Source organism: Homo sapiens, chromosome 5 (assembly GCF_000001405.40).
Source record: "Homo sapiens chromosome 5, GRCh38.p14 Primary Assembly".
NCBI classification, from domain to species: domain Eukaryota; kingdom Metazoa; phylum Chordata; class Mammalia; order Primates; family Hominidae; genus Homo; species Homo sapiens.
The window spans coordinates 178,359,044-178,382,168 of NC_000005.10; the positions used below are offsets into that span (position 1 = coordinate 178,359,044).

Genomic DNA, 23,125 nt, shown 5'->3' on the forward strand with positions numbered 1-23,125 from the left:
TAAAGACAGAAAGCACAGAGTCGCAGGATGGCAGCTCTCCAGGCTGAAAGGGGCTTGGGGGTCTGGCTCAGTTTTGATTCTGGCACTGCAGTAAATATTCATGCAACCCTGGGCAAGTCATTTAACCTCTCTCAGCCTCGGTTTCCACCAACACCCCACTTCTGGGTTGCTGCCAAGACGAAATAAGATAGTGAAGGGGGCTGGGTGCAGTGGCTCACGCCTGTAATCCCAGCACTTTGGGAGGCCGAGGCAGGTGGATCACTTGAGATCAGGAGTTTGAGACCAGCCTGGCCAACAATGGTGACATCCCGTTTCTACTAAAAACACACAAAAAATTAGCTGGATGTGGTGGTGGGTGCCTGCAATCCCAGCTACTTGGGAAGCTGAGGCAGGAGAATTGCTTGAACCCGGGAGGTGGAGTTTGCAGTGAGCTGAGATCACACCACTGCACTCTAGCCTGGGTGACAGAGCGAAACTCTTGTCTCAAAAAAAAGATCATGAAGGGACTGTCATGGCCCCTGTCAGAGTGCAGGTTGCTCATAAGTGTTCATTTTCCTTGTCTGGTTAAATAAAAAGATTCCCGAGAGAGGTGTGGAGTGAAAACCCAGTCTACATTTCTCTCCTGCTGCACGCTGGCTCTGTATGTCCAGCAAATGTTCACTTAGTAAAGTCGCAGAGCTCAGATCTTGTGTGCAAAGCCCAAGCTGGGAGGGGGCCCAGGCCACTTCTTTGAAGGGAAAGGAGGACAGACAGAAACTCAGAAATAGCCTATTTCTAGGGAGAAGATGGAGCAGGACTGGGATGGCTCCCAGAAACTAAGCATCTTCCTCAAGGGTGAAGGGAGAGGGAGCAGAGGAGCCCAGTGGAGAACGAGGAGGGCTGCAGAGGAGGTCCGTGGAGCAGGGGTGGGGTTAAGGGTGAGCTTACGGGAGCGGAAAAGCTTTTCCTGAGGCCAGAGCCTCGGGTGAGACAAGCAGCCGCTCGCATCATAGGTCTTTGGGGGCAACTCCCACCCCACAATTCTCTTCCGTGGTCCCATAAGCTTCTCAAATGTCCTGGGATGCCAGCCTGCTGACATGCGAACCACATCTCCAGGGATAGCCTCTCCTGCCCAGAAGTGGCCCCAAATTCTTCGCCAGACCAAGCACAGAGATTTCTCGGTTGGCCCCAAATTCTTTATCAGACCAAGTGTAGGGATTTCTCAGTTGCGAAAACCTAGTCACTGAATTTCACAGAAAGTAGAATAAGAATAGAAACTGCGAAGCTTTTTTTCAAGGAAAGTACGTTTCTTTATTAGATTGCAAAATCTTTTCCCAGCGGGGACAGGTCAATTTAAAGTGGCGGCAGCCCTGCAAGGATGACGCACACATCCAGGGAGAAGCTGCCATGGGAACCGCATGCTCCTGGGGAGCCAGGCTGGGCCTCATGTGGGGGGGGATGGAGGGCTGCAGTCGTGCCTAGGGGCCTGCCCGGCAAAGAGCAGGAGAACTGACCGCACACAGATCTGTGTTCAAATCCCTCACTAGACTGCCAGATGCAGAACTGTTGGCAAACACCTCTCTGAGCCTCGGTGTCCCCACCTTAAAAGTGAGAATTACACCTCCCTATTTGGGTCATGAAACATAATATGTTTCGAATGAGAAACATACTAGAAACTTGCATGGCACACCTGGTCATGGAGTGTTCAGGAGGTGTTGTCCTCATCCCACACGGAGCAGGTGCACCGGCTGCTGCTATACTTCTGCTGTGACATCCTTCAGGGAACCGGGGGACCCAAAGAGCTCCACGTCCCTGGGCGGGCCAACAGAGCCAATGTGATGGGAGAGAAATGCTACGCACCTGGGGCTTAACCTCGAGCAGCTGTGTGGGCTTTATCAGGCCAACACGACGCTGAAGAACAACAGAAGACGTTTTTGACATTCGGCTTTGGACTTGGCAAACAGGGCTGGACTGAACACGTCTCAGGGACACACTCTGGCCACATCCTTGCTACATCCAAGCAAAGGCTGCCTGGAGCTGCTGTCAGGGTCTTTGCTGGGTCTCTAGCTATTCTTGTGCCACTCACACCATGTTTTTAAAAAACATTTTTTCTTTAAACTTTCTTACTTAAATAAAATATATTTTAAAATGAAACCTAAATTACTACCACAAAAGGAAAACCACTCTTCCCTGCCATAAGGTCTATTCTGTTTGTCAAAAAGGAAATTGACAAGTATTAAAGGAGTGTTAAAGAGGCACTAGGGACAAACTGAGACGATCTCTTGAGTCAGCTGGAAGGATTGGGAGAGATCTGAAGGCTTTTCTCCTGTGGAGTCACTTGTCTTTGAGTGAATATTGGGTTAAGGCTTTCGAGCCCTTGCTCTGAGGAATGATCTTGGTGTGAATGTGGGCACATGTGGCCTGAGGAGGGTAGAAGCTGATGCTCTTAGAGTCTCGCTCTCCTCATGTCTCCTCACCATTCCTCTGCGGGCTCCACCTCCCTCCTACAGGGCCCTTCTCCCCACCTCCACCTTCAACCCAACCCCTGGCCCCCTGGCCTTGTCTCCATCATACACCCCCCTACAGGACTCATGTTTTCCTACTGCCTCCACCAGAACCTCTGCACAGCACATTCCCACCATCACTACCACCCCAACCCTGACGGCTCCCAATTCTTCTCCTGGGATCACCGACTCCATGCTGGACCTGTGACCCCTTGGGAACCGCAGTCACCTCCAAGACAGGTGCTTTCCCTATGTGTGCTTGAGCCATGCACCGGCTCTCACTGTCTCCTGCTGCAGATGAGCTAAGTAAGGTCCAGCAAGACCAGTCAGCAGGCGGGCAGGCTCCACATCCTGACATTCCCGCCTCCCCTCCAGGGATTTTCCACCATCTCACTCTGGAACTCTGTCTCCAAACCACAAGCTGACATCACACAGGGAGTCACTGGACGCCCCCTAGGAAATGCTGAGTGGGAGATAAAGGAGTAGTGATGCTTATGCAAAGCTTCCCTCCTCCCCTCCTGCAGATACGGGGTCATTGTTACAAGCAACAAGGAGGCTTCCTAGGTCCAACTTTTAGCGGACGTCGCTGCAGGTGTGGCAGGGCATTGAGGTGGGAACACATTCAGCTGGTGAGAGGTGGTGTGCAGAGCGGCTCCTCCTGTCCCTGCCTGTGAACTGTTAGACAGACACACCATTCCCATTTCCACCCAGAGCCCAAGTGAATGGAGGGAGGCTGAGTTTGGAGCCAGGCGGCTGTGGGTCCGAATAGCGGCTCAACCACAGGCCCCGGGGTTGGTGGGGGCATGTCCCACTGAACCATGGACAGCTCTGTGTCTCAGTGGGCCCACAGCACGACACCAGCCTCTGGGCTGATACCGAATCCAGGCTAAGCTCACTTCACCGAGGGGTGCCTGTGGCCTGCCAAGCAGCCACTCTCTCTTTTTTTTGCCACCAGCACCTCACTTTTCCTTTGAAGAGCCACCCTCCCCACTCTCAGTCCACCTGGATTTGTTAAGTCTTAGCCTCTCCCACCCACCCTTGCCACCGGCAGGTGACTCTGGCCTGGCTCACGGGCACACCCTCATTTTTCTGGCTGCAATGACTGGCTCAGAGTGTAAAATGTCACCCAGGAGTCTCCGCCATGGGACTTCTGTTGGAACTATTAGACAAGAGGCTTTCTTCCTGCAGCTGCAAGAAAGGAGTAAGGCTAGAACTTTGAAGACTCCACTTCCTGAAGGTGAAGCCGGCACAGAGGAAAGCATCCCAAGCACTGGGAGAGGCTGCCCGATGGCACAGCCCAGCCCATGGCACAGCCCAGCAGCCCGACCCACCCTACAGAAGCCAAATCTATGACACATCCACCCCCACAGCAACCCACCCCCACAGCAACCCACCCCCACAGCAACCCACCCCCACAGCAATCCACTCCCACAGCAACCCACCCCCACAGCAACCCACCCCCACAGCAACCCACCCCCACAGCAACCCACCCCCACAGCAATCCACTCCCACAGCAACCCACTCCCACAGCAACCCCACATATTTTGTTTTGTTTTGTTTTTTGGCTTTAAGTCAATTCAAGTTGGCTGTTTTTATGACAAGCAACAGTGTCCTAACAGGTGTGAGCAGTATTTTTAGGGAGTCAGACAACATAACTGCGGGGCACTAAGCATCAGCCCATGCCCTAGAGTTACAGTGTATCAAGGTTTTATCACATGTTAATTCTGGCCTCTCCTATAGGACCTATCATCCTCTTGTTATCTGCTAATTTGATCACTGTATACATTTTGCATCTCCAAGTTGTTGAAAACACTGACAGGATAGCCTAAGTGTAGAACCTACAGTCCAGAAGAAGAAATACCTCCTGGCTGACACAGTGCACTCACTCATTCACTGATTCACTCACTCCTTCATTCATTCAGTATCTATTGAGTCCTACTACGGGTCAGTCATAGTTCTAATTAGACTTGTGTGACTATTAACCAACCAGCTACACTCCCAGCCAGACTCTGGTCCCAAATGTCTCCTTTTCAGACAAAAACACATTAGGACGTTTTGGTCAGCACCCATATGAAGTCCAAATACACTGGAATTAAACACTCCCTCGACCCACAGTCCCACAGGAGCGCCCCGTCACTCGGCCACAGAGCCGATGGCTGCTTCACCTCCCCACCGGCTGTGGGTGTCGGCTGCAGGTCTGACACTGGCTCACTGCGCTAGAGTTTCCCGAATCCATCCCTCTGGAAACTGGCATGGTTCTGATGGCCTATCCATCACCCTCTGTTCTTCCTCAAAGACACAGCCTATTTCTATGATCACATTAGCAAGTCCTTTCCACACTCTGGCACAACCCATCTGGGTGTGGACACGTAGGTTCACGTAATGGGATTTGTCACACGTGGTCAGCACCTGCTATGTGGGAGAACCTCCTAGAACCTCCCCACACACCCTTCGCTTTGCGGCCCTCCTGACTGTTCCCCATCAGACCCCTCCACCTGAGGTAAAAGTGGCAATCCAGGACTCAAGGCACCAGTGGTCTGGCTACCACCTCGGTCCCGCCCCGGGTCACATGGGGAGCTCTTCTTTGATCTTGTGCCACATGGACATTTAAAGCCGCGTGTGCTTTTCTGCACATTTCCGCCTGTTGGTTTCTGGGCCCCTCCCTGGCTTTGTTTCCCTCCCTCCCGCCTAAGCCCACGTCCCTTGTAAGTCTGAGAAGAAAGCTCCACACATGGCCAGAACTGCCTGGCCCCCGCCCCTTACAGGAAGTCCGTCTTCTTCCTTCTTCCTCCTGATATCTGCTTGCCTCATTTCTAGGTTTTGAATCTCTTGGTTTGGGATTGGCAGCTCCAGGCCCCCAGGAGGGTGAGCTGAGGGTGAAGCAGGCCCACAGGAGGGTGAGCTGAGGGTGGAGCAGGCCCACAGGTGGGGCCCGCCTGTGCAGAGAGTACTCAGCCTTGGTCCCCTGAGATGCAGGAGCTTGTTCATCTGGTGGAGTTGAGGCCATGATCATCCCTCACGGGCCGTCTTCCTAAGGCTATCTGATCCTGCCTCTCCCATCTCCAACATCAGCAGACACCGAATTATAGTTCTAGAAGGGTGGTCGGGGAGGCGCCTGGGAACTCACCCGGCCCAGCAGTTGCACCTTTGATTAGCAGAATCACCCGGACAGCTTTTCCTGTCCCCACTCCAGAGGCTCTGAGTCACGAGGTCTTGGGTGGGCCTAAGGCACCTGGATCTACAAAAAGTGCCCCCATCCCCCATGACTCTGCTGATGAACTGCACAGGGGCTCCCCCTCACCTATGGGGAAGCCGGCACCTTGCAGGTTTCAGGGCACACTGCAGGGAGCCTGCCCAGGCCCCAGCCTCCAGCAGGCACAGCCAGCATTTCCAGTGCCTGGGGCTGAACTGGCTTGGAAGCCTGGGCTCCGAGCTGCTCACTCACAACCCTCGCCAATACAGCCTGAATTTATTAAGCAATGGGCTCTTCCTGTCAGGCGAATAAACAGATGCACAAGCAGATACAGCAGTAAAGAATAAACCGTAGGGGCAATAACAATCTCTTTGTAATTTCTCTTTGGGGTGGGCTTTATGATGTTGCTGTGTGTGCGTGTGTGTGTGTGTGTGTGTGTGTGTGTGTGTGTGATAAATAAGCAAAATTGTTTTCCTGGGACTCCATCCAGGAACATTAGATATGGGGTCCAGCCCCAGCGCACAGGAAACCCTGCTCAGGCAGATGGTGTGGGAGAGCGAGGTTGTGCTTTGATGCATGGGGTAGAGGAACCCTAGGAGGCACTGAGACCTCGGTGGCTGTCCCAGGCTCTGTCCTCCCTGCATATGGCCTCAGGCAGCTCAAGGCTTAGCTTCCCACTGGCCTCCTCCCTCCCGGACACTCACGCATTTCAGGTCTGACGGGTACCCGCCACCCAATCCCTCTTTCTTTTGACGGGTACCCGCCACCCAATCCCTCTTTCTTCTGATGTCGACAGGATCAAGCACAAGCCTCCTTGGCAGGGATGAGGGGTCCTCAGGTCTGGCTGGGCCCACCTGGCTGCTTCCTGGTCTCTACCACATGCCCCAGCCTCACCCCACGGCCCGCCCAGCACCCGCCAGGCATGCAGTGGCCCCTCTCTTCTCCTCGACAACTGCGTGCTGTTCCCGGCAGACCCTTGCGTTTCCTGTTCTCTGCCTGGAAAGCCATGTCTTGTTCTCCACGCCCAGTTCTGATGTCACCTTTCTCACACCCAGGAGTCCTCTGTGACCTGGGAGGGGGCCCACTCCCCCTACCCTCAGCGCTGGGCACTGGCTTGTGATGGTCTCCTGGCCACATGGGGAGCTCCTCGAGGGCAAGGCCTGGGAACATCTGGAGTCAGTGAACACAGCAGGAAGGGGGGATGGTCAAGCGCACCACAGGCTTGGAAGCAGACACGCCCAGTTCAAGCCCCACTCCAGCCCTCCTCAAGTGGGTCACTCCTCACGGCCTGTGAGTTCACCTCTTCATCTGAGCTCGCTTCAGATGACGCCCCCAGTGCCAGGTGATCATCTGCCGCTGTGTCCTCAGCATCTGGCCCAGCCCCATGGGGACCATCTGTTAAAGCTCCATCTACCCTACGAGGAGGCGAGTCCCCAAGGGCAGGGCTGGGTCTGATTCACCTCTTCCTCCCCGGAGCCCAGGGTTCACTCTGCAACTCTGCTGGCTGAAGGGCCTGCTCCCAGCCCAGCTTGGCTGTCCAGTGGGGAGGGGCACCGCTGCCTTGCCCGAGGTTCCCTCTGCACCCCACGATGGGCGCTGCGTCCTCCATCCTCTGGTGCACCAGGTTAGCTTGACTCCAGGTGCCCTGCTGGTGTGGCTCCACCTGGTCGCTGGGGTCTGTCTTCCCAGCTCCCATCCGCCCTTCCCTGCATCCTCCTGGGCTGGTTCCAGTTTGGGGCCATCATCTCTTGTGCATCTTTGCTCACGGCGTCTTCTGCACCTGCACTCCCATCTGACCTTTCCAGACCAACTTCCACCCTGCCCCAACAGAGTGCTTTCAGATCACCCGCCCTGCGAAAATGTGTCGGTGATCACTGTGACTAGAACAAGTCCTCGTGTCTCTCTATGTGAGCCCCCAACCCACTCTCCAGCTACCCCTAGAACCAAAACAGCATCCTGCCGCTGCCACGGTGGTGCAGCCACACTGAGCATCCCAAACCTCGCCGGAAGCACGTTCCTCCTCCGTGCCTGTGCTTCTGCTGGTCTAAATCATTATCTATTGCTGAGGCTCACAGCAGATGTCGCCTCTTCCATAAAAGCTTTTCTGACTCCTTCACCCAGGAAGCAGGGTCCTGCCCTCCTCTGCAGCCCCACGTGGCCCACTTGGCATGAGTGGCTGGCTTGCTCGCCTTCCTGGCCACACCAGATGGGCTGTGCTTTCTTCACCTCTGCATTCCAGGTGTCTCCTACGGACCTGGAATGGGGTGGTCATTTGGTGCGTGTTTGTTGAAACTGAATTTTACATGGCAGGGATTTCAGACTCTTCTCTGGTTGGGTTTTGGGCTGACTGCTGAACAGTCCATTTGCTATCAGACAAAATTCAGTTGCGGTCACGTCAGACATTTCCTTTAGCCAAATCGTTATCTGAGGGTATCACTGGAATACACATCAGCACTAGCTTGATCTGCTTGGAAACCACCAATGGCATCCGCTCCGAGTCTTCCGATGATGTCCAGATGGGAGCTGCTGCGCTTAGTGCATTTTCTATCATTAAGCTGACGGGAGCTCCACGTCTGAGAGGGGCGTTTGGCCTTGGGTGGGTCACGCCTCTCTGTGTGCCCGTTTCTCCTCTGGAGCGGCAAGAAGCAGCAGCCAGAGTATCAGCAAGGTCCCATGGAAGGTGGAGTGATCTCCATTTTGCTAATGCAAAGCACCCTTGGCAGTCAGTGTCCTGCACATTTATACAGAGCTCCAAGCCCACTGTGGTAGACTGGGGCTTCCCTTGGTGGCTGCAACATCTGGCCTCACCACCGTGTTGAATGGAGGAGACCCTAGGTGAACACTAGGTCCCACTGTACGAGCCGGGAGCCCTGACATGTTAGGGAGGCTGGGGGCGGGGTCAAACCAAGGACGAGCAGGCTGCAGAGGGCCCATGGGATTCTGCTGCTGAACAGATGCAGGCTGCCATCGTACAATGTGGCTCTCTTTTCTTTCTAGCATATCATCCAAACGCCTACTTCCCACTTCTGGGAACTTCTCGCTCCCAGATTCAGAAACTGTCCTGGGGCACCAGCAGGTGGGTGCGCAGGTACACGTGAGTCCAGGCTTCCCAGAGGTACGGGCTGCCACCCTTCAGGCCGTGGCCTGGGTCAGGCGCTGTGGAGAGTGGAGCAGGATGAGACCAGCTGCTGTCCTGGAGGGGCTCAGGGCTGGGCCAGGTGGCAGGACCTGGGAGGCACCCAGGAGAGCTGCTCTAAGGGAGACGTTGTGTGCACTGCGGAAATGCACGGGGCCAGTGGCGCATGGAGGGGCAGGGAAGGACTGATCAGAAAGGCTGTGTGTGAGCAGAGCCTTGAAGGGAGGGAGGATTTTGATGCGTCGAAAGGGCAGGCAAGAAACAGCTCTGGGAAGAGCTCAGTCTGTCTGGATCAACTTGTTTTGTCTAGAACTTTCCATGTGTGAAAGGCAACATGGGAAATAAATTCCTCATGGCTAGGACATGGGTTAAGGGGGAGGAATACCATGGGCTGGGCAGGGAGGAGCTACCATAGTGTTTCTAAAGAAGACTTTATGGTTTCAAAGCAGTCTTAGGCTCACAGCAAAATAGAGTGGAAAGTGCAGAGAGTTCCCATATCCCCTCAGCCCACAAACGCACAGCCTCCCCCATGATCAGCATCCCCACCAGAGGGTACGTCTGTCGGCTGATGAACCCACACTGACGAGTCATCACCCACATTCCATAGTGTACGTTAGGGTTCACTCTTGGTAGCATACATCCTGTGGGTTTGGACGACTGTGTAATGACACGTAGCCACCGCTATAGTATCACACGGAGTAGTTCCACTGCCCTAAAAGTAGTCTAAGCTCCATCCATATACCTCTCCCTCCCCACACCATAGTGACTTGAGCAGGGGAAGAGTGGGGCCAAGCCTGGCCTCCAGAAGCCATCGGCCTCCAGAAGCCGTCAGCCTCCAGAAGCCGTCAGCCTCCAGTCCAGAGTGGCACAGCCAGCAAGCTTCACAGCGACTTCCTTCCAGGAGGACCAGGTGCAGCTAGCACTGCTGCAAGCCAAGTAGGACACCAACCCCTTTTTATTGTTCCTGGGCTATAAGGTCACGGACTTGCTTTCCCCCTCCTGACTGATTCCTGCTGGCTCCAGGGCAGATATGCCCACGTCCCTGCACCCCGAGGGCTGCTCCTCATGGCAGCAAAGCCCAGCCAGGGCAGCCTGAGATGGGGTTGGGGGAGACAAGGAAATGAATGACTGCTCAGTGTGTGTGCCCCTTCAAGGTTTAGCAAGCTCCCCGCACACCCACCTTCTTGACCCAGCCAGAGGTGAGGACCTTAGGCTGCATCCGTCGGCCCCTTCTGCCCTGGGGTGGGAGGCCGAAGCTATTCAGTGCGGGTCAGGAGGGACAGCATCAGTCATGTGAGCACAGCTAGGCAGGCCTCAGGGAGGCTGGCTTGGTAGGTGTGTATCTTGTCCTGTCCAGGGGAGACGAACAGGTCTGGGGCCCTAAACACCTTGACCCCTGGAGAGATGAAGTGTTCCCCCCCACACCACCCTCCTGTCCTTGTTCAGACTCCTCTGGCTCCAATTCCAGCTCCCAGGAAACTTCACACCTCGAGAGGATGTGACCTGGGTTAAGGTGATGGCCTTCTGGAAACTGGAAGAGAACACCCCTCCATGGCAGGTAACAAGAGACGCTTCATCTTCAAGTCTTTTCTTCTGTCCAGAAAGCACTCAGAGAAATTACAATAATAAAGTTAGTCCATTATATGGTTTGGCTGTATCCCCACCCAAATCTCATCTTGAATTGAACGTGTTGTGGAAGGGACCCAGTGGGAGGTAATTGAATCATGGGGGCAGGTCATTCTCGTGCTGTTCTTGTGACAGTGAATAAGTCTCCTGAGATCTGATGGTTTTATAAGGGGAGTTTCCCTGCACACGCTCCTCTCTCTTTGCTTGCTGCCATCCATGTAAGATGTGACTTGCTCCTCCTTGCCTTCTGCCATGATTGTAAGGCCCCCCCAGCCAGGTGGAACTGTAAGTCCATTAAATCTCTTTCTTTTGTAAACTGCCCAGTCTCAGGTATGTCTTTATCATCAGCATGAGAACAGACTAACACAGTTCAGCAGGGTAGAATGAAAAGGAGGCACAAAACAAGGGTTGAAACAAATGACCATGCCACGGGCCAGGATTTAAGAGGCAAGACCTTAGGTTCCAGGCCCTTCTAGATGTGGCCCGAAGTACTGAGTCACGTTAATGTGGAACCCAGCTGGAGGAACCACTGAGGGCACATGCAGAATAGCACCCAACCAGCACCTAGGAAAAGGGCAGCCAGTTCCAGAACTAAGGCCAGCACCAAATTCATGCCACGTGTCTGCACGGCAGGTTCCCATAATCAATGTCACTTATGCATGACCCTCTTGAGATGTGCAGTCTGGATGGAATCAAAGGACTCACAAAAGGTTTTGAAAAGAGCATGCTGGGGAGAGTGCAAAGCCAGGCCGCTGGCCTGCAGGTCCTGGGCGTGCTTCTTCACCCTTGTGTTTAAAATGTCAAAGGAATAAAGAGATGTGGTGTATACACAATGGAATACTATCCAGCCTTACAAAAGGAGGAAATCCTGTCATTTGAGACAATATGTGTGAACCTGGAAGACATGACGCTAAGTGAAATAAGCCAGGCACAGAAAGACAAACACCACATGATCTCACTGATATGTGGAATCTAAAAAAAAAATAGAGCTCATGGAAGCAGAGAGGCTTCAGAAACTTGGCGGCAGGGGATTGGGGGACATTGGCCAACGGATATAGAGTTTCATTAGACAGGGGGAAGAAATTCAAGAGAGCTACTGTCCACAGGGCAAGGTGGCTCACCTTTGTAATCCCAGCACTTTGGGAGGTCCAGGCAGGAAGATGGGTTGCACCCAGGAGATCAGCCTGGGTAACACGGTGAGACCCTATCTCTCTTGAAAAATAAAATGTTGAATAATAAAATTATTCAATCTAGTCCATCCTAAATTTGCTTAAAAGGAAAAAAATATTAAAATAAATAAACAAATAAATATTAGCCCAGCGTGGTGGTGTGCACCTGCAGTCCCAGCTACTCAAGAGGCTGAGGCAGGAGGATCCCTTGAGCCCAGGAGGTCAAGGTTGCAGTGAGCCGTGATCACATAACTGCACTCCAGCCTGTGTGACAGAGTGTGACCCTGTCTCACAAAGAAAAGATCTATTGTATAACATGATGACTGTGGTTAATAACAAGGTTTTGTATTCTTGAAAATTGCTAAGAATAGATCTTAAGTGTTCTCATTACAAAAAAATGCTAAGTCCATGAGCTAATGGATGTTCATGAGGTTGACGTCTCTCTCTGCCATGTAGACATGTATCAGAAACATCATGCCGCACACCATATAGACAATGTTTGTCAATTAAAAATAAATACATAATAAATACATATAAAATGCCAAAGGAAAAATGTTCTGTGCAGAATTGATGAGGAGTTAGACCCTGAAACGCACATCCAAATATCTCCACTTCCCTATCCTACATGGGTTCGACCAGTGTCACCAGGCAGCACCCCAGGCCTAGAGGGTGAGAGGCTGTGTGCACTCAGACTATGGCCCCAGTTGACTCTCAAATCCTCACATGCAGGCATGCCCCAGCAGGGAGGACGACTGGAGGAGGGGCCGGCTGCAGCTCTGGGGTCGGATGGGCCTCGCGGGCTTGGTTCCAGCTGAGACTCCGCCAGTCCCACCTCAAAGTCGCCCCTACACCTTGGCTGAGCTACCTGACCTTGGTATCAGCCCTGAACACTGGACACGCGGCGACGGGCCTGAGCCTCCCTCAGGGGCACTGTCACCAACCCCTGGGCCAAATGACCTTTGTGGCGCCCTGCCTGGCTCACAGCTCACCCACCCCGCACACCCTGGGGATTGCACAGTTCTCCCTCCTGTGACAGGGCAGCCCTGTCCGCGGTCCCTCTTCCCGATGGTGAGCTTCCCACCAATGTAGAAGCGCCTTCCCTTCCTGTCATCTACTCTCGGCCACCCAGCTGAGCCCCCACCGCCCCAGGGGGCTCCACGGAGTGAATCTGAGGGCGGAAATGTTTCTAAGCATTCATTTTCTAGCTGTTGCCAACTAGAGTGAAATCCTTCTGACTCAGCTTGAACTACAGCTCTGAAATCTAACAAGTTAGTTAAGAAGGATTTTAGAAAAGAAAAATTGAGCCTGGCCAAGTCTGCGATAGGAAATCCAGGATCCTTTCTAGATTAGAGGCTGCACAGTGACAGCCGTGACCCACAGATGTTTTGTCTGGTCTGCAGAGTGTTTTAAAACACGGGAACTCATAGCCCAGAGTTAAAAATCAGGCAATTTCACACACAACTCTGGATTTCTGGTTCCTCTGGAAGAAATAAGGTGATGGGGCAGCAGGGGTGACTCCAAAGACGGGGCTGACGCAGGGGGCTGGCAGACAGCGGGGCGTGCTGGGAGGCACTTCGAGAGAGTGTTGCCCAGGAGAGTGGTGCTGGGCTCCGATGTGGCTGGGAGCTGGCACAATTTATACACTTGGCAGGAGCGCCGTTTCCTCCAGGTTTTCTGTTTCTTATTAAAGTTTTTAGTCCGAGGGCGTAGTTGCTGACTCTGGTGTTGGCGTTAGCCCTGGCCTTATTAAACAGAAATATACAGCCAAGAGGAAATGAAGAAGGAAGGACAGACGATGCCAAAGGGAAAAAACAGGGCTGGAGAACCAAAGCAGCGTCCACAGGAACGAAATCCTGGGGGGCGGGGGCTGCGGTCCCTGCAAGGGGAGAGGGTGAGGTGGAGAGTGACAGCCCAGCTTCCGATTTCTTTTTTCCTTTTTCCAGACAAAGTCTCTCTCTATTGGCCAGGCTGGAGTGCAGTGGTGAGGTCACAGCTCATTGCAGCCTCGACCTCCCAGCCTCAAGCCACCCTCCCGTCTCAGCCTCCCGTGTAGCTGGGACCACAGGCACCCACCACCACACCTGGCTAATTTTTTTTGCATTTTTAGTAGAGACAGGGTTTCGCCATGTTGCCCAGGCTGGTCTCAAACTCTTGGGCTTAAGTGATCTGCCTGTCTCTGCCTCCCAAAGTACTGGGATTACAGGCGTGAGCCACCGCGCCCAGCCCCCAGCTTCAGAGATTTCTCTTTCTTTTCTTTTTCTTTCTTTCTCTTTTTCTTTCTTTTTTTTTTTTTTTTTGAGACAGAGTCTTGCTCTGTCACCCAGGCTGGAGTGCAGTGTGCAATCCCGGCTCACTGCAACCTCCATCTCCCAGGTTCAAGCGATTCTCCTGCCTCAGCCTCCCGAGTACAGCTTCAGATTTCTGAGAAGAAACTAACACTATGAGTACTGCCAGAGTAAGAAATCAAACCCTTGGTAAAAAGCACAGGCTTAACAAGACCCCAAAACACTGACATGGGTTTGACTGCCACTCACCAGCTGGCCTTGTGCCCTTGGACCCCCACTGGGTTTGGTGCCTCTCCTGGCCTTGGTTTTCTCAGCTATAAAATGGGCACAGCAGCAGTAACACCACAGGGTTGCCATGGCTGTGAGATGGGCACAGGACAAGGGCAGCGCCCTCGTTTGGGTTCCGCAGAACTGACTGCCGTTCTCAGTGCAGCCCAGGCGCGAACCTCCAAGGTGTCCTGCCCCACACTTTATTTTTTATTTTTATTTTTATTTTTTGAGACAGACTCTCCCTCTGTTGCCCAAGGCTGGAGTGCAGTGGTGCAATCTCGGCTCACTGCAACCTCCGCCTCCCAGGTTCAAGTGATTCTCCTGCCTCAGCCTCCCAAGTAGCTGGGACTACAGGCTCCTGCCATCAGCCCAGCTACTTTTTTTATTTTTAGTAGAGACGGGATTTCACCATGTTGGCCAGGCTGGTCACAAACTCCTGACCTCAGGTGATCCGCCTGCCTCAGCCTCCCAAAGTGCTGGGATTACAGGTGTGAGCCACCGTCCTTGGCCCTGCCGTGCACTTTAACCTGAAGAGATGAATCTGGACAAAACCCAGTTGCTGGCATAATCCTGACATGCTGCTCACCCTGTTTCCTCCCATCCTCGTCCCAGGGGGCTGCCTCCCTCAGGAGAGGTGGGTGCCGAAGTTGTCACCAGGCACCGTGTGGCAGAGCAGGGCAGTCAGAGCTCGCTTTGAACATATCTGGGCAGGGCCTCGCCTGAGGAGAGCAGGGCAGGCACGAGTGGGGCCGGAGGGGAAGTGCAGCACCGGCGCCCGCACCCTTCAACTTCTCAGTTTTCTCTGTCGGTTGATTTGGACGCGTTCTCACAGGTCATATGCACCTTTGAGTCCAATTTTACTCACAAGGATGCGCAAGGGTACAATTCTCAGCACACGCCAGCTTCTACCAAGATGGAGACAGTGGATCTAAGGCTATCTGCTGAATAGATCACAGAGTAATGAGTACATTAATGGTGGCAGCAAGGGCATGGCTGATGCTCCGTGATAACCTGAGCCAATCTTTGCTCCTCCCAGCCTCTGCACACCCTTCCCTCTGCAACCCTTCTATCCCTGAGGTGCCCTTCCCTCCACCTCTCTCCACTGCACAAACTCTTCCTCTCCCTTCCAGGCCCAGTTCAACAGTCACTTCCTTGACGCCTCATAATGGTCACCACTGCCTGCCTATCTCTGCTGCTGCCCTTACCACAGACACCGTGGACAGCAGCTCGTGGCTGTGCCCCCCACGCCTCCGTAAGGTTTTTGAGTGCGGTTAAAATCATGGGCTTGGGAACCAGACTGCCTGGGTTTGCATTCCAGCTCTGCCACCTGTGACTTCTCTGTGCCTCAGTTTCCTCATCCGTGAAATGAGAACAGCACCTACCTCACTGGGCTGCTGTAAGAGTTTAGATGAGTGAAGGTGTTGTCAGTGTCCAGCTTTAGTAAGCGCTGAAAACCTGTTAGTTAAAACCACTTCCCACCTGCTAGGATGGCTGCAATCAAAAGTCAGATAATAACAGGTGTTGGTGCAACGTGGCACGACTGGAACCCTCATACATGGCTGGTGGGAACGTGAAATGGTGCAGCCACTTTGGAAGCCAGTCTGGCAGCTTAATCAAACAGCTAAGCACAGAGTTACCCTGAGACTCAGAAATTCCACTCCTCGAGGCATCAGGAGTCAAATTATTGAATAACCCCAATAACCAATAACCCATAATCAAGTAGCCAAAGAGAAATGAAAACATATATCCAGAAAAAGTTTGCACACAAATGTTCATAGAAGCATACGTATAACAGCCAAAAGGTGGCGACAACCGAAATCACCGTCAGCTGATGAACGGATGAAGACAATGTGGTTGATCTGAACACCAGAATATCACTCTGCCATCGAAAGCTGCAACATGCTACCTGCCACAACATGGACGAACCTTGAAAACATGATGGGAAGTGACATGAACCACAGAAGGTCACACGCTGCAGGAGTCCATTTCTAGGAAATGTCCAGAATGAACAAATCCACAGGGACAGAAAGTAGACTCGTGGTTGGCAGGGGCTGGGGGAGAGGAGGGGAGGTGGGGGATAATAGCTACAGGGCATGGGCTTTCTTCCGCAGGGGATGAAAAGGTCCTAAAACGGACATCTCTCCCCTGGATTCTCCAAACCCTACCGACTGCCTCCAGGCACCACCTTGCCCTGCATCCTGTCTTCCGCATGGCAGCCAGGGTGACCCTGTAAGAACCTAAATCAGAACTTGGCCTTTCTCTCGGAACCCTGCAATGACTTTCTGTCTCACACAGAGTCGATGGTCTCACCTCACGATGGCCCAAAAGGCCCTGCGTGGTCCCGCCCTGCCCCTCCGACAGCCTCGTTCCTGCTTTCCCGTCTTACTTCTCTCCCACCTTGCTGACCTCAGTCTCACCAGGCAAACGCTTGCTCACTGAGGTGGCCCCTGTGCTGGATCCCCGTCTCCACCAGAAATCCACTTGACCCATTCCCTTTTCTTTCTTTCTTTTTTCTTTTTTGAGACGGAGTCTGCCTCTGTTGCCCAGGCTGGAGTGCAGTGGCACAATCTTGGCTCACTGAAACCTCCGCCTCCCAGGTTCAAGTGATTCTTCTGCCTCAGTCTCCCGAGTAGCTGGGATTATAGGCGCCTGCCACCATGTCTGGCTAATTTTTGTATTTTTAGTAGAGACAGGGTTTCACCATGTTGGCCAGCTGGTCTCGAACTACTGACCTCAAGTGATCTGCCCGCCTCGGCCTCCAAAAGTGTTGGGATTATAGGCGTGAGCCACCACGCCCGGCTCCCATTCCCTTTTCTACAGCTGTAAGTTGTGGCTCAAATGTCTTCCTCCCAGGGGGACCCCTGGCCCTGCCTCCCTACTCTATTTAATATCCCACTCTGCACACGCCACATCCCAGTGTGATGAAGGCACAGTCTCATCTGTGCTTTCTCTTTTCCATAGCACTTGTCATCTTCTAAAGTACTACAGGGCATGCTTATTATATTCATGATTTGTCTGTCCCCTTGCTAAACGGGCATGCCATCGGATCCGGGTTTCCGTCTGTTTTGTTATTTAGGTATTCTCTGCTATTGGTTGGTGCTCGGTGAACATGTGAGAAGGAACTCTGTCTTCACATCTCTGAGAAGTAGGTATTATCATTTCCGTTTCTCAGGTGGGACATGATGGCTCAGAGAGGTTAGGTGACCTGCCCCAGGGACCACAGCTGGGACAGGGAGTTGGGTGTGAGGCCCCCCACTGCCTGGTGCTGGGGAGACCCCCTGCACTGCATTGGTGCCCCTGGTCTTCTAGACAAAGGGCAGCAGATGACCATAGCTGCTCTTTAGGAACCAGGCACTGAGTTAGGTGCTTTAGATACACCACCTGTAATTCTCAAGCAATCCTGCAAGTTAGGCCTCTTACTTCCATTTAATAGAAGAGAAATCGGAAGCTCTGAAAGGTGAGGGAACATGCCCAAGGCCACACAGCTAGGAGACAGTGGAACCAGATGCTTCTTTGTGTAAGGGGTGCAAGCTTCCACATGCAGCTGAGACCCTCCGCCATCTGCAAGGCGAAAGTCATGCCCTGTTTACTGCCAAGATAAGCACTGCTGGGGACAAAAGTGCCAAGGAGGCTAAATTAGGGCTTAGCAGGACAGGAGTGAAAGGGAAATAGCAAAAGGCTGCCTCCCATGACTTCATCAAAGTGAACCCTGGCCACTTTTATCTTCCCCCGAAAAGGCTGATAAATGCACAAAAGCCCTCCCTCCCCTCGGCACACCAGGAACCACAGAAACTGGACTACTCATCACCTCTTGAAGGGGTCACCGGCTGGAGGATGTCTCAAGGACAAATGCGATGCCCCGCAGCCTGTTTCATGGGGTCTGACAGGGAGCCGGTTGCAGATTGATGGGACTACGCGGGCCACGCACAGGAAAGCGTCTGAGTCAGCAGTGGGCAGCGGGTAGGAACCAGCATCCACCCAGCAGAGCTATGATTAACGTAATTCCAACAGATCTTCTCCCGTAACGGGCTGGTGTTTCACATCTGTCAGACACAGAGCTGCCTCCCCTGAACATGCCATGTCTTTCCTTCCTGGCTGTGCAAAGGCAGTGTGTTCCTCCTTCCTTTTCCAAGGGAAGGCATGAACTGCCTGGTGTTTTAAGAAGTGAAATTCTGGCCCTCATCTCCAGGGGCCGGGGCCACCCCACTGCTTCTGGAGAATCAGCCCAAGGCATTCGGCAGTCAGTCCCGACATGGGTCTACCCAAACTCACTAGTGAAAACTCACCACACAGCCAGACGTGTCATCCTGGGCCTTTTGCCTTTTCTTCACCCTCTGCCACCGGCCATGTGTCCTAGGATCCTCAAGCCTAACTTCCCTGGGTGCAATTCCCCATCCCAACCCCATCTCCAAGGCGGTGCCATCCTCCCCTGGACCTTCGATCTTCAGGGGTGTGGGAAGCCATGGGAGTGGCGTGGAGGTGGTGTGGACAAGCGCGCGAGTCACGGTCACAGTCTGTCACCGGGAGGCCGAGAGAGCAGGTGCAGGGCAGGCCGAGGGGACTCCTGCGTAGAGGTGGCCAGTGGAAGGCGCTTTAGGGGCTGGTGAGCCATCCTGTGTGTGTGGCAGGAGCTGGGGCCCACGACACACGGTGGAGAAGACACTGGAGAAGCAGGCAGGGGTCATTGGGAGAAGGGATTTACTCAAGAGCCACAGTGTGCCAAGCACGATGGCACGTGTCTGTGTTCCTAGCCACTCAGGAGGCTGAGGCAGGAGGATCGGTGAGCCCACGAGCTCCGGGCTGAAGTGCACAATGCTGACTGAGTGTGCACAGTAAGTTTGGCATCAATATGGTGACCTCCCAGGAGAAGGGGACCACCAGGTTGCCGAAGGAGGGGTGATCCGGCCCAGGTCAGAAGCAGAGCAGGTTGAAATCCCATGCTGATCAGTAGTGGGACTGTGTCTGTGAACAGCCACTGCACTCTAGCCTGGACAACATAGTGAGACCCCATCTTTTAAAAAGTAAAAAGAGCCACAGTGGTAGCTCTCCAAGGGGATAACAGGCCCCACAGAGCCCTGGGAAAATGCACATGTGCACAGACACTCAGTCTGCCCCATTTCAGGGTTTTCCTGCACCCCCTGAGGACTGCAGTCCATGCCCCACAGCAAGTGGGCCTCCTCAAGCAGGACGATACCGGTATGGGACCTGTACTTCTGCCGCTGACTGGAGGGAGTGGCAAGAAGGGCAGGGCTGGGAAGCCTAACTGGGAATTGGCATATGGGTTTTTGGTAAATCCAGTGTGATCAGAGTAGTAAAACCAGAGCTCAAGTGAGGGTTAGGGCTGGAGGTCACTAACACCAACCCAAGAGGGAGAAGGTGGCGTGGAGATGGGAGAAGTTCCCCCGCAGAGGCGACAATGAACAGAGCTGATGGGATGTGGGGTGGGGCCGGGCAGTTTGCAGGATACGCAGGGATGGAGCAGCGCTGAGTGCCCAGGGAGGTTTGGTGCCTCCTGGGAAAGGTCACCTGCCTCAGGGTGAGGAAGGACCCTCATCACCAAGGCTCAAGGACAGGGTGAATGGAGACCGCTGGCAGGTGGCAGCGGCCGCAGGACGGAAGATCCTGAGGCAGACCCAGGCTTGGCCAAGCTTGCCCAACAGGTCTGACTGAGGCTCCACACAGAGACCCCATCCTTCTCTTATTTGGAATCCCAAAAGCTCTAAGAGCCAAGAGTTTATGTTAAACTGGAGTAGTTTTCAGTTGGAGGCAAGCCAGATTGATGTGAGGCTGTTTCTAGACTTTATTTATCTCACTTGCGGGTGTGTTTATACATTTCACTGCAGAAACATTAGCCTGTCTGGTTATGGGAGCTGCCCCAGAAGGATTCTGAATTCTGCACACGTCAAGCTCAAAGGGTTTGGCTAACAGATTGTGAACCTGCACTAGAGAAATTTGATTAAATTATTGTGTATCTATGAGACAATTAAAAAAAACAAACAAACCAGAAAGCTCTCCAAGACATAGTGATCAACTAAAAAAAACCCTTATTCATTTAACCAAAACTTGAAAGGTATCTCATGAGTCAGCACTGTTGACCGTAGATGCTAGGACTGGAAAAGTGAAACAAGCAGAAAAATACTAAACAAAACTCTCTACGTGCACTGTGTACCTCTGTGTGTGTACATGCAGAGAAAGAGGCCTGGATGGACACACATGAATCTGGTAATAGTGGGACCTCTGGGCAGAGGGGTCTTGCAGGGATGAAGGCAGCCTTTGACACATTATTCTCTGTATTTTGGTACTTTTTGTATTACTTTTGTTTACAGTAAGCAAGAATTCATGTATTACCCCTGTAATTAATAGAGAAAAACCTAGAACTATAAAAATGAAAACACGCTGGGTGTGGTGGCTCACACCTGTAATCCCAGGACTTTGGGAGGCCGAGGTGGGCGGATCACCGGAGGTCGGGAGTTCGAGACCAGCCTGACCAACATGGAGAAACCTTGTCTCTACTAAAAATACAAAATGAGCTGGGCCTAGTGGTGCATGCCTGTAATCCCAGCTACTAGGGAGGTTGAGGCAGGAGAATTGCTTGAACCCAGGAGGCGGAGGTTGCGGTGAGCAGAGGTCACGCCATTGCACTCCAGCCTGGGCAACAAGAGCGAAACTCCATCTCAAAAAAAAAAAAAAGAAAAGAAAAAGAAAACAAAAACAAGGAAAAATAACTACCCATTTAGTTCAACCTTATTTTATAGATGAGGAAACTGAAGGTCAGGGAGGCCCCACAGCCTCAGGTTGGAGCTGGAACCAGGCTCCACAGACTTTCAGGGCTAGTTCCTGAACCGATGCTGCCTCCAACATGACCTGTGTTTTGTGAACCGTGATGATCTATACACAAAATTCTACATGTGGCCTGTTTTGCTGAAGCCCTTTTTACCACTGAGGAATGGTTTTATTTATCTGTAGAAGCCACAGACAGCAGGGTGTGGAAAGTCAATGGGTCAATTGCTGCCTAGTGTTGGAGCAGGATGAAGACCAGAACCTGCTGGGGGGGACTGCAACTCTGGGTCACAGGTGACCTAGATGAGGGGGTCCAATGTGGCACACCAAGGCGGGGCCCAGCAGTGGGATGTGGACACTCCAGTGCAGCCACGTAAAACTTATCCTTGGATTTCTAGAGCATGCATTTGTGTGTGTGTGTGTGTGTGTGTGTGTGTGTATGCTTTTTTCCTGTTTTTGTACTTCTCTCATATTTTCTTTCTTTTTCTGCTGAAGGGGAAAAGGCACTGTCACCACAGCTGCTGATCAGGAGTTCCAAGTTTTGATTTTTCAGTCGCAGTTGATTTCACTCATTATTCATTATTTTTAACAGAATGTATACATTTCTACGTGGAAATGTTTTTCAACGTTTTAAAACCAGAATGAGTGAATGGGAAGTGGCATTTGAGCCAATGAAGGAGGTGGTATGAACAGCACGGCCCTGGCTAAGAGGACGGCCGGGACAGAGGCAGGGAGGATCACGTCCGGGGCCAATGTCGGGACCAGCCGCAGTGAGAGGGAGGAGAGAAAAGGCAGGGACTTCACCTGTCCCCAGCGTCCTGCTGAGCAGGGTCACAATATGAGTGCTTTCTGCCAGGACAGCCTTCCAGGGCAGCGGGTGTGGGGACAGCTGAGGCCAAGGCTGAGCAGGGCAGGGGAGTGGGGAGGGCAGGGCAAAGACGCACCCTGGAGATGTGTGGGCCCACCCAGCCGGCAGGCACATCTAGCTAGGCCCATTCCGATCCGTGGCCAGTGCTACCAGGCAGATTTCATCGTCAAGTCCTAATTTTGCAAGTTTTCACCTGGAAAATCAAGGGGCCCTGGCCTACCTGGGCCTAGAGGGTCTGGCATGGCCACAGTCACTGAAGTGGAGTGGGGTTCTGCCACTCCCTGCCCCTCACTCATCCACTCCACCTGTGAGGATTGGTGACGTTGCCTTCAACAAATAATTAGGGGGTGGCTTACAAAGGTCCCTTCGGACTTGGGAAAGAAGAACAGTTAAGCCAGCAGCTGGCCCTCCTCAGGATGTAGGGAAGTGTGGAAGCTGCACCAGCCCAGGGGACCCTGCCGGCTCCCCTACTCCCACCTTCCACAGGGGAAGGCCAGCAAGTACGATGGCCATGGGGATGGCGAGAAGGCTGAGAAGTGCCACTCAGAGCAGAAGGTGTGTCCATGCCAGCAGGACCAGCTGCTTGGGACACCAGCACCACCGGGAGAGAGGGTCCTGCCTGTCGCTGGTCTGTGGGTGGTTTCACCTGAGCTGTGCTGTTACCATCTATCCATGCATTTGTGTTAGTGAGGACGGAATGGTATACAGAGCAGCAGGCTGTCATGCCATATGGGAATTCTGTGTCTCCGGGCCCAGGCCTAGCCACACAGAGGGTGATCTGGCCTGGAGTGGTTTTTTTTGAGACAGGGTCTTGCTGTGTCGCCTACGCTGGAGTGCAGTGGCATGATCGTGACTCCCTGCAGCCTTGAACTCCCCGGCTCAGGCAATCCTCCCGCTTCGGCCTTCTGAGTAGCTGGGAATAGAGGTGGGTGCCACCACGCCCGGCTGATTTTTAAATGCTGTGTAGAGATGGGATTTCCCTCTATTGCCCTCACTGTTCTTGAACTGCTGAGCTCAAACCATCCTTCCGCCTCGGCTTCCCAAAGTGCTGGGATTACAGGCACGAACCATCACACCCAGCATTGCCTGGAATTTTTGGATCAAATTGGCCTGTGCCCCCTCCGGTGGGAATCCTAGGCATTCTGAGGGCAGGTTAGTCTTGCCCTCGAGTCTCCATGTGAGATGGTCTGACCAACAGAGATGCCTATTTCTGGGTTTCGGTTCTCAGTCCGCACTGGAATCTTCGGGGGGAATGGGTGGGGCATTCTGGCACAGTCCCTGGGGGGCTGAGGTTTCTCAGCTGAGAGGCCGACGC

The 23,125-nt window shown here is 53.1% G+C and overlaps 1 protein-coding gene, 1 long non-coding RNA gene and 1 pseudogene across 14 annotated transcripts in view, besides 5 other annotated features; 2 read left to right on the forward strand and 1 right to left on the reverse strand.

The window, feature by feature from the left end:
* COL23A1 (collagen type XXIII alpha 1 chain) overlaps nt 1-23,125 on the reverse strand; it is a 352,776-nt gene that overhangs the window by 121,426 nt on the left and 208,225 nt on the right. The window lies entirely within an intron of this gene.
* Nucleotides 4,015-10,461, forward strand: LOC105377757 (uncharacterized). 3 transcript variants are annotated; one of them, XR_007059077.1, is made up of 4 exons: nt 8,421-8,511; nt 8,674-8,752; nt 9,576-9,748; nt 10,281-10,461. It is a non-coding gene; the product is annotated as an uncharacterized LOC105377757 (long non-coding RNA). The 3 variants fall into 3 exon arrangements; XR_007059078.1 differs by having other exon boundaries at nt 10,259-10,332; XR_007059079.1 differs by lacking the exons at nt 8,421-8,511; nt 10,281-10,461 and adding an exon at nt 4,015-7,018 and having other exon boundaries at nt 9,576-9,654.
* Nucleotides 4,292-5,284: an enhancer, noted in NCBI's record as "H3K4me1 hESC enhancer chr5:177790336-177791328 (GRCh37/hg19 assembly coordinates)". NCBI's record gives its function as "activates a minimal SCP1, AML or CMV promoter by ChIP-STARR-seq in naive H9 embryonic stem cells {active_cell/tissue: H9 hESC(naive)}" and the evidence as "EXISTENCE:reporter gene assay evidence [ECO:0000049][PMID:30033119]".
* Nucleotides 7,269-8,260: an enhancer, noted in NCBI's record as "H3K4me1 hESC enhancer chr5:177793313-177794304 (GRCh37/hg19 assembly coordinates)". NCBI's record gives its function as "activates a minimal SCP1, AML or CMV promoter by ChIP-STARR-seq in primed H9 embryonic stem cells {active_cell/tissue: H9 hESC(primed)}" and the evidence as "EXISTENCE:reporter gene assay evidence [ECO:0000049][PMID:30033119]".
* Nucleotides 8,278-8,862: an enhancer, noted in NCBI's record as "H3K27ac-H3K4me1 hESC enhancer chr5:177794322-177794906 (GRCh37/hg19 assembly coordinates)". NCBI's record gives its function as "activates a minimal SCP1, AML or CMV promoter by ChIP-STARR-seq in primed H9 embryonic stem cells {active_cell/tissue: H9 hESC(primed)}" and the evidence as "EXISTENCE:reporter gene assay evidence [ECO:0000049][PMID:30033119]".
* Nucleotides 14,847-15,346: an enhancer, noted in NCBI's record as "H3K4me1 hESC enhancer chr5:177800891-177801390 (GRCh37/hg19 assembly coordinates)". NCBI's record gives its function as "activates a minimal SCP1, AML or CMV promoter by ChIP-STARR-seq in naive and primed H9 embryonic stem cells {active_cell/tissue: H9 hESC(naive and primed)}" and the evidence as "EXISTENCE:reporter gene assay evidence [ECO:0000049][PMID:30033119]".
* On the forward strand, nt 18,881-19,177 carry RN7SL646P (RNA, 7SL, cytoplasmic 646, pseudogene; annotated as a pseudogene).
* Nucleotides 21,394-22,200: an enhancer, noted in NCBI's record as "H3K27ac-H3K4me1 hESC enhancer chr5:177807438-177808244 (GRCh37/hg19 assembly coordinates)". NCBI's record gives its function as "activates a minimal SCP1, AML or CMV promoter by ChIP-STARR-seq in primed H9 embryonic stem cells {active_cell/tissue: H9 hESC(primed)}" and the evidence as "EXISTENCE:reporter gene assay evidence [ECO:0000049][PMID:30033119]".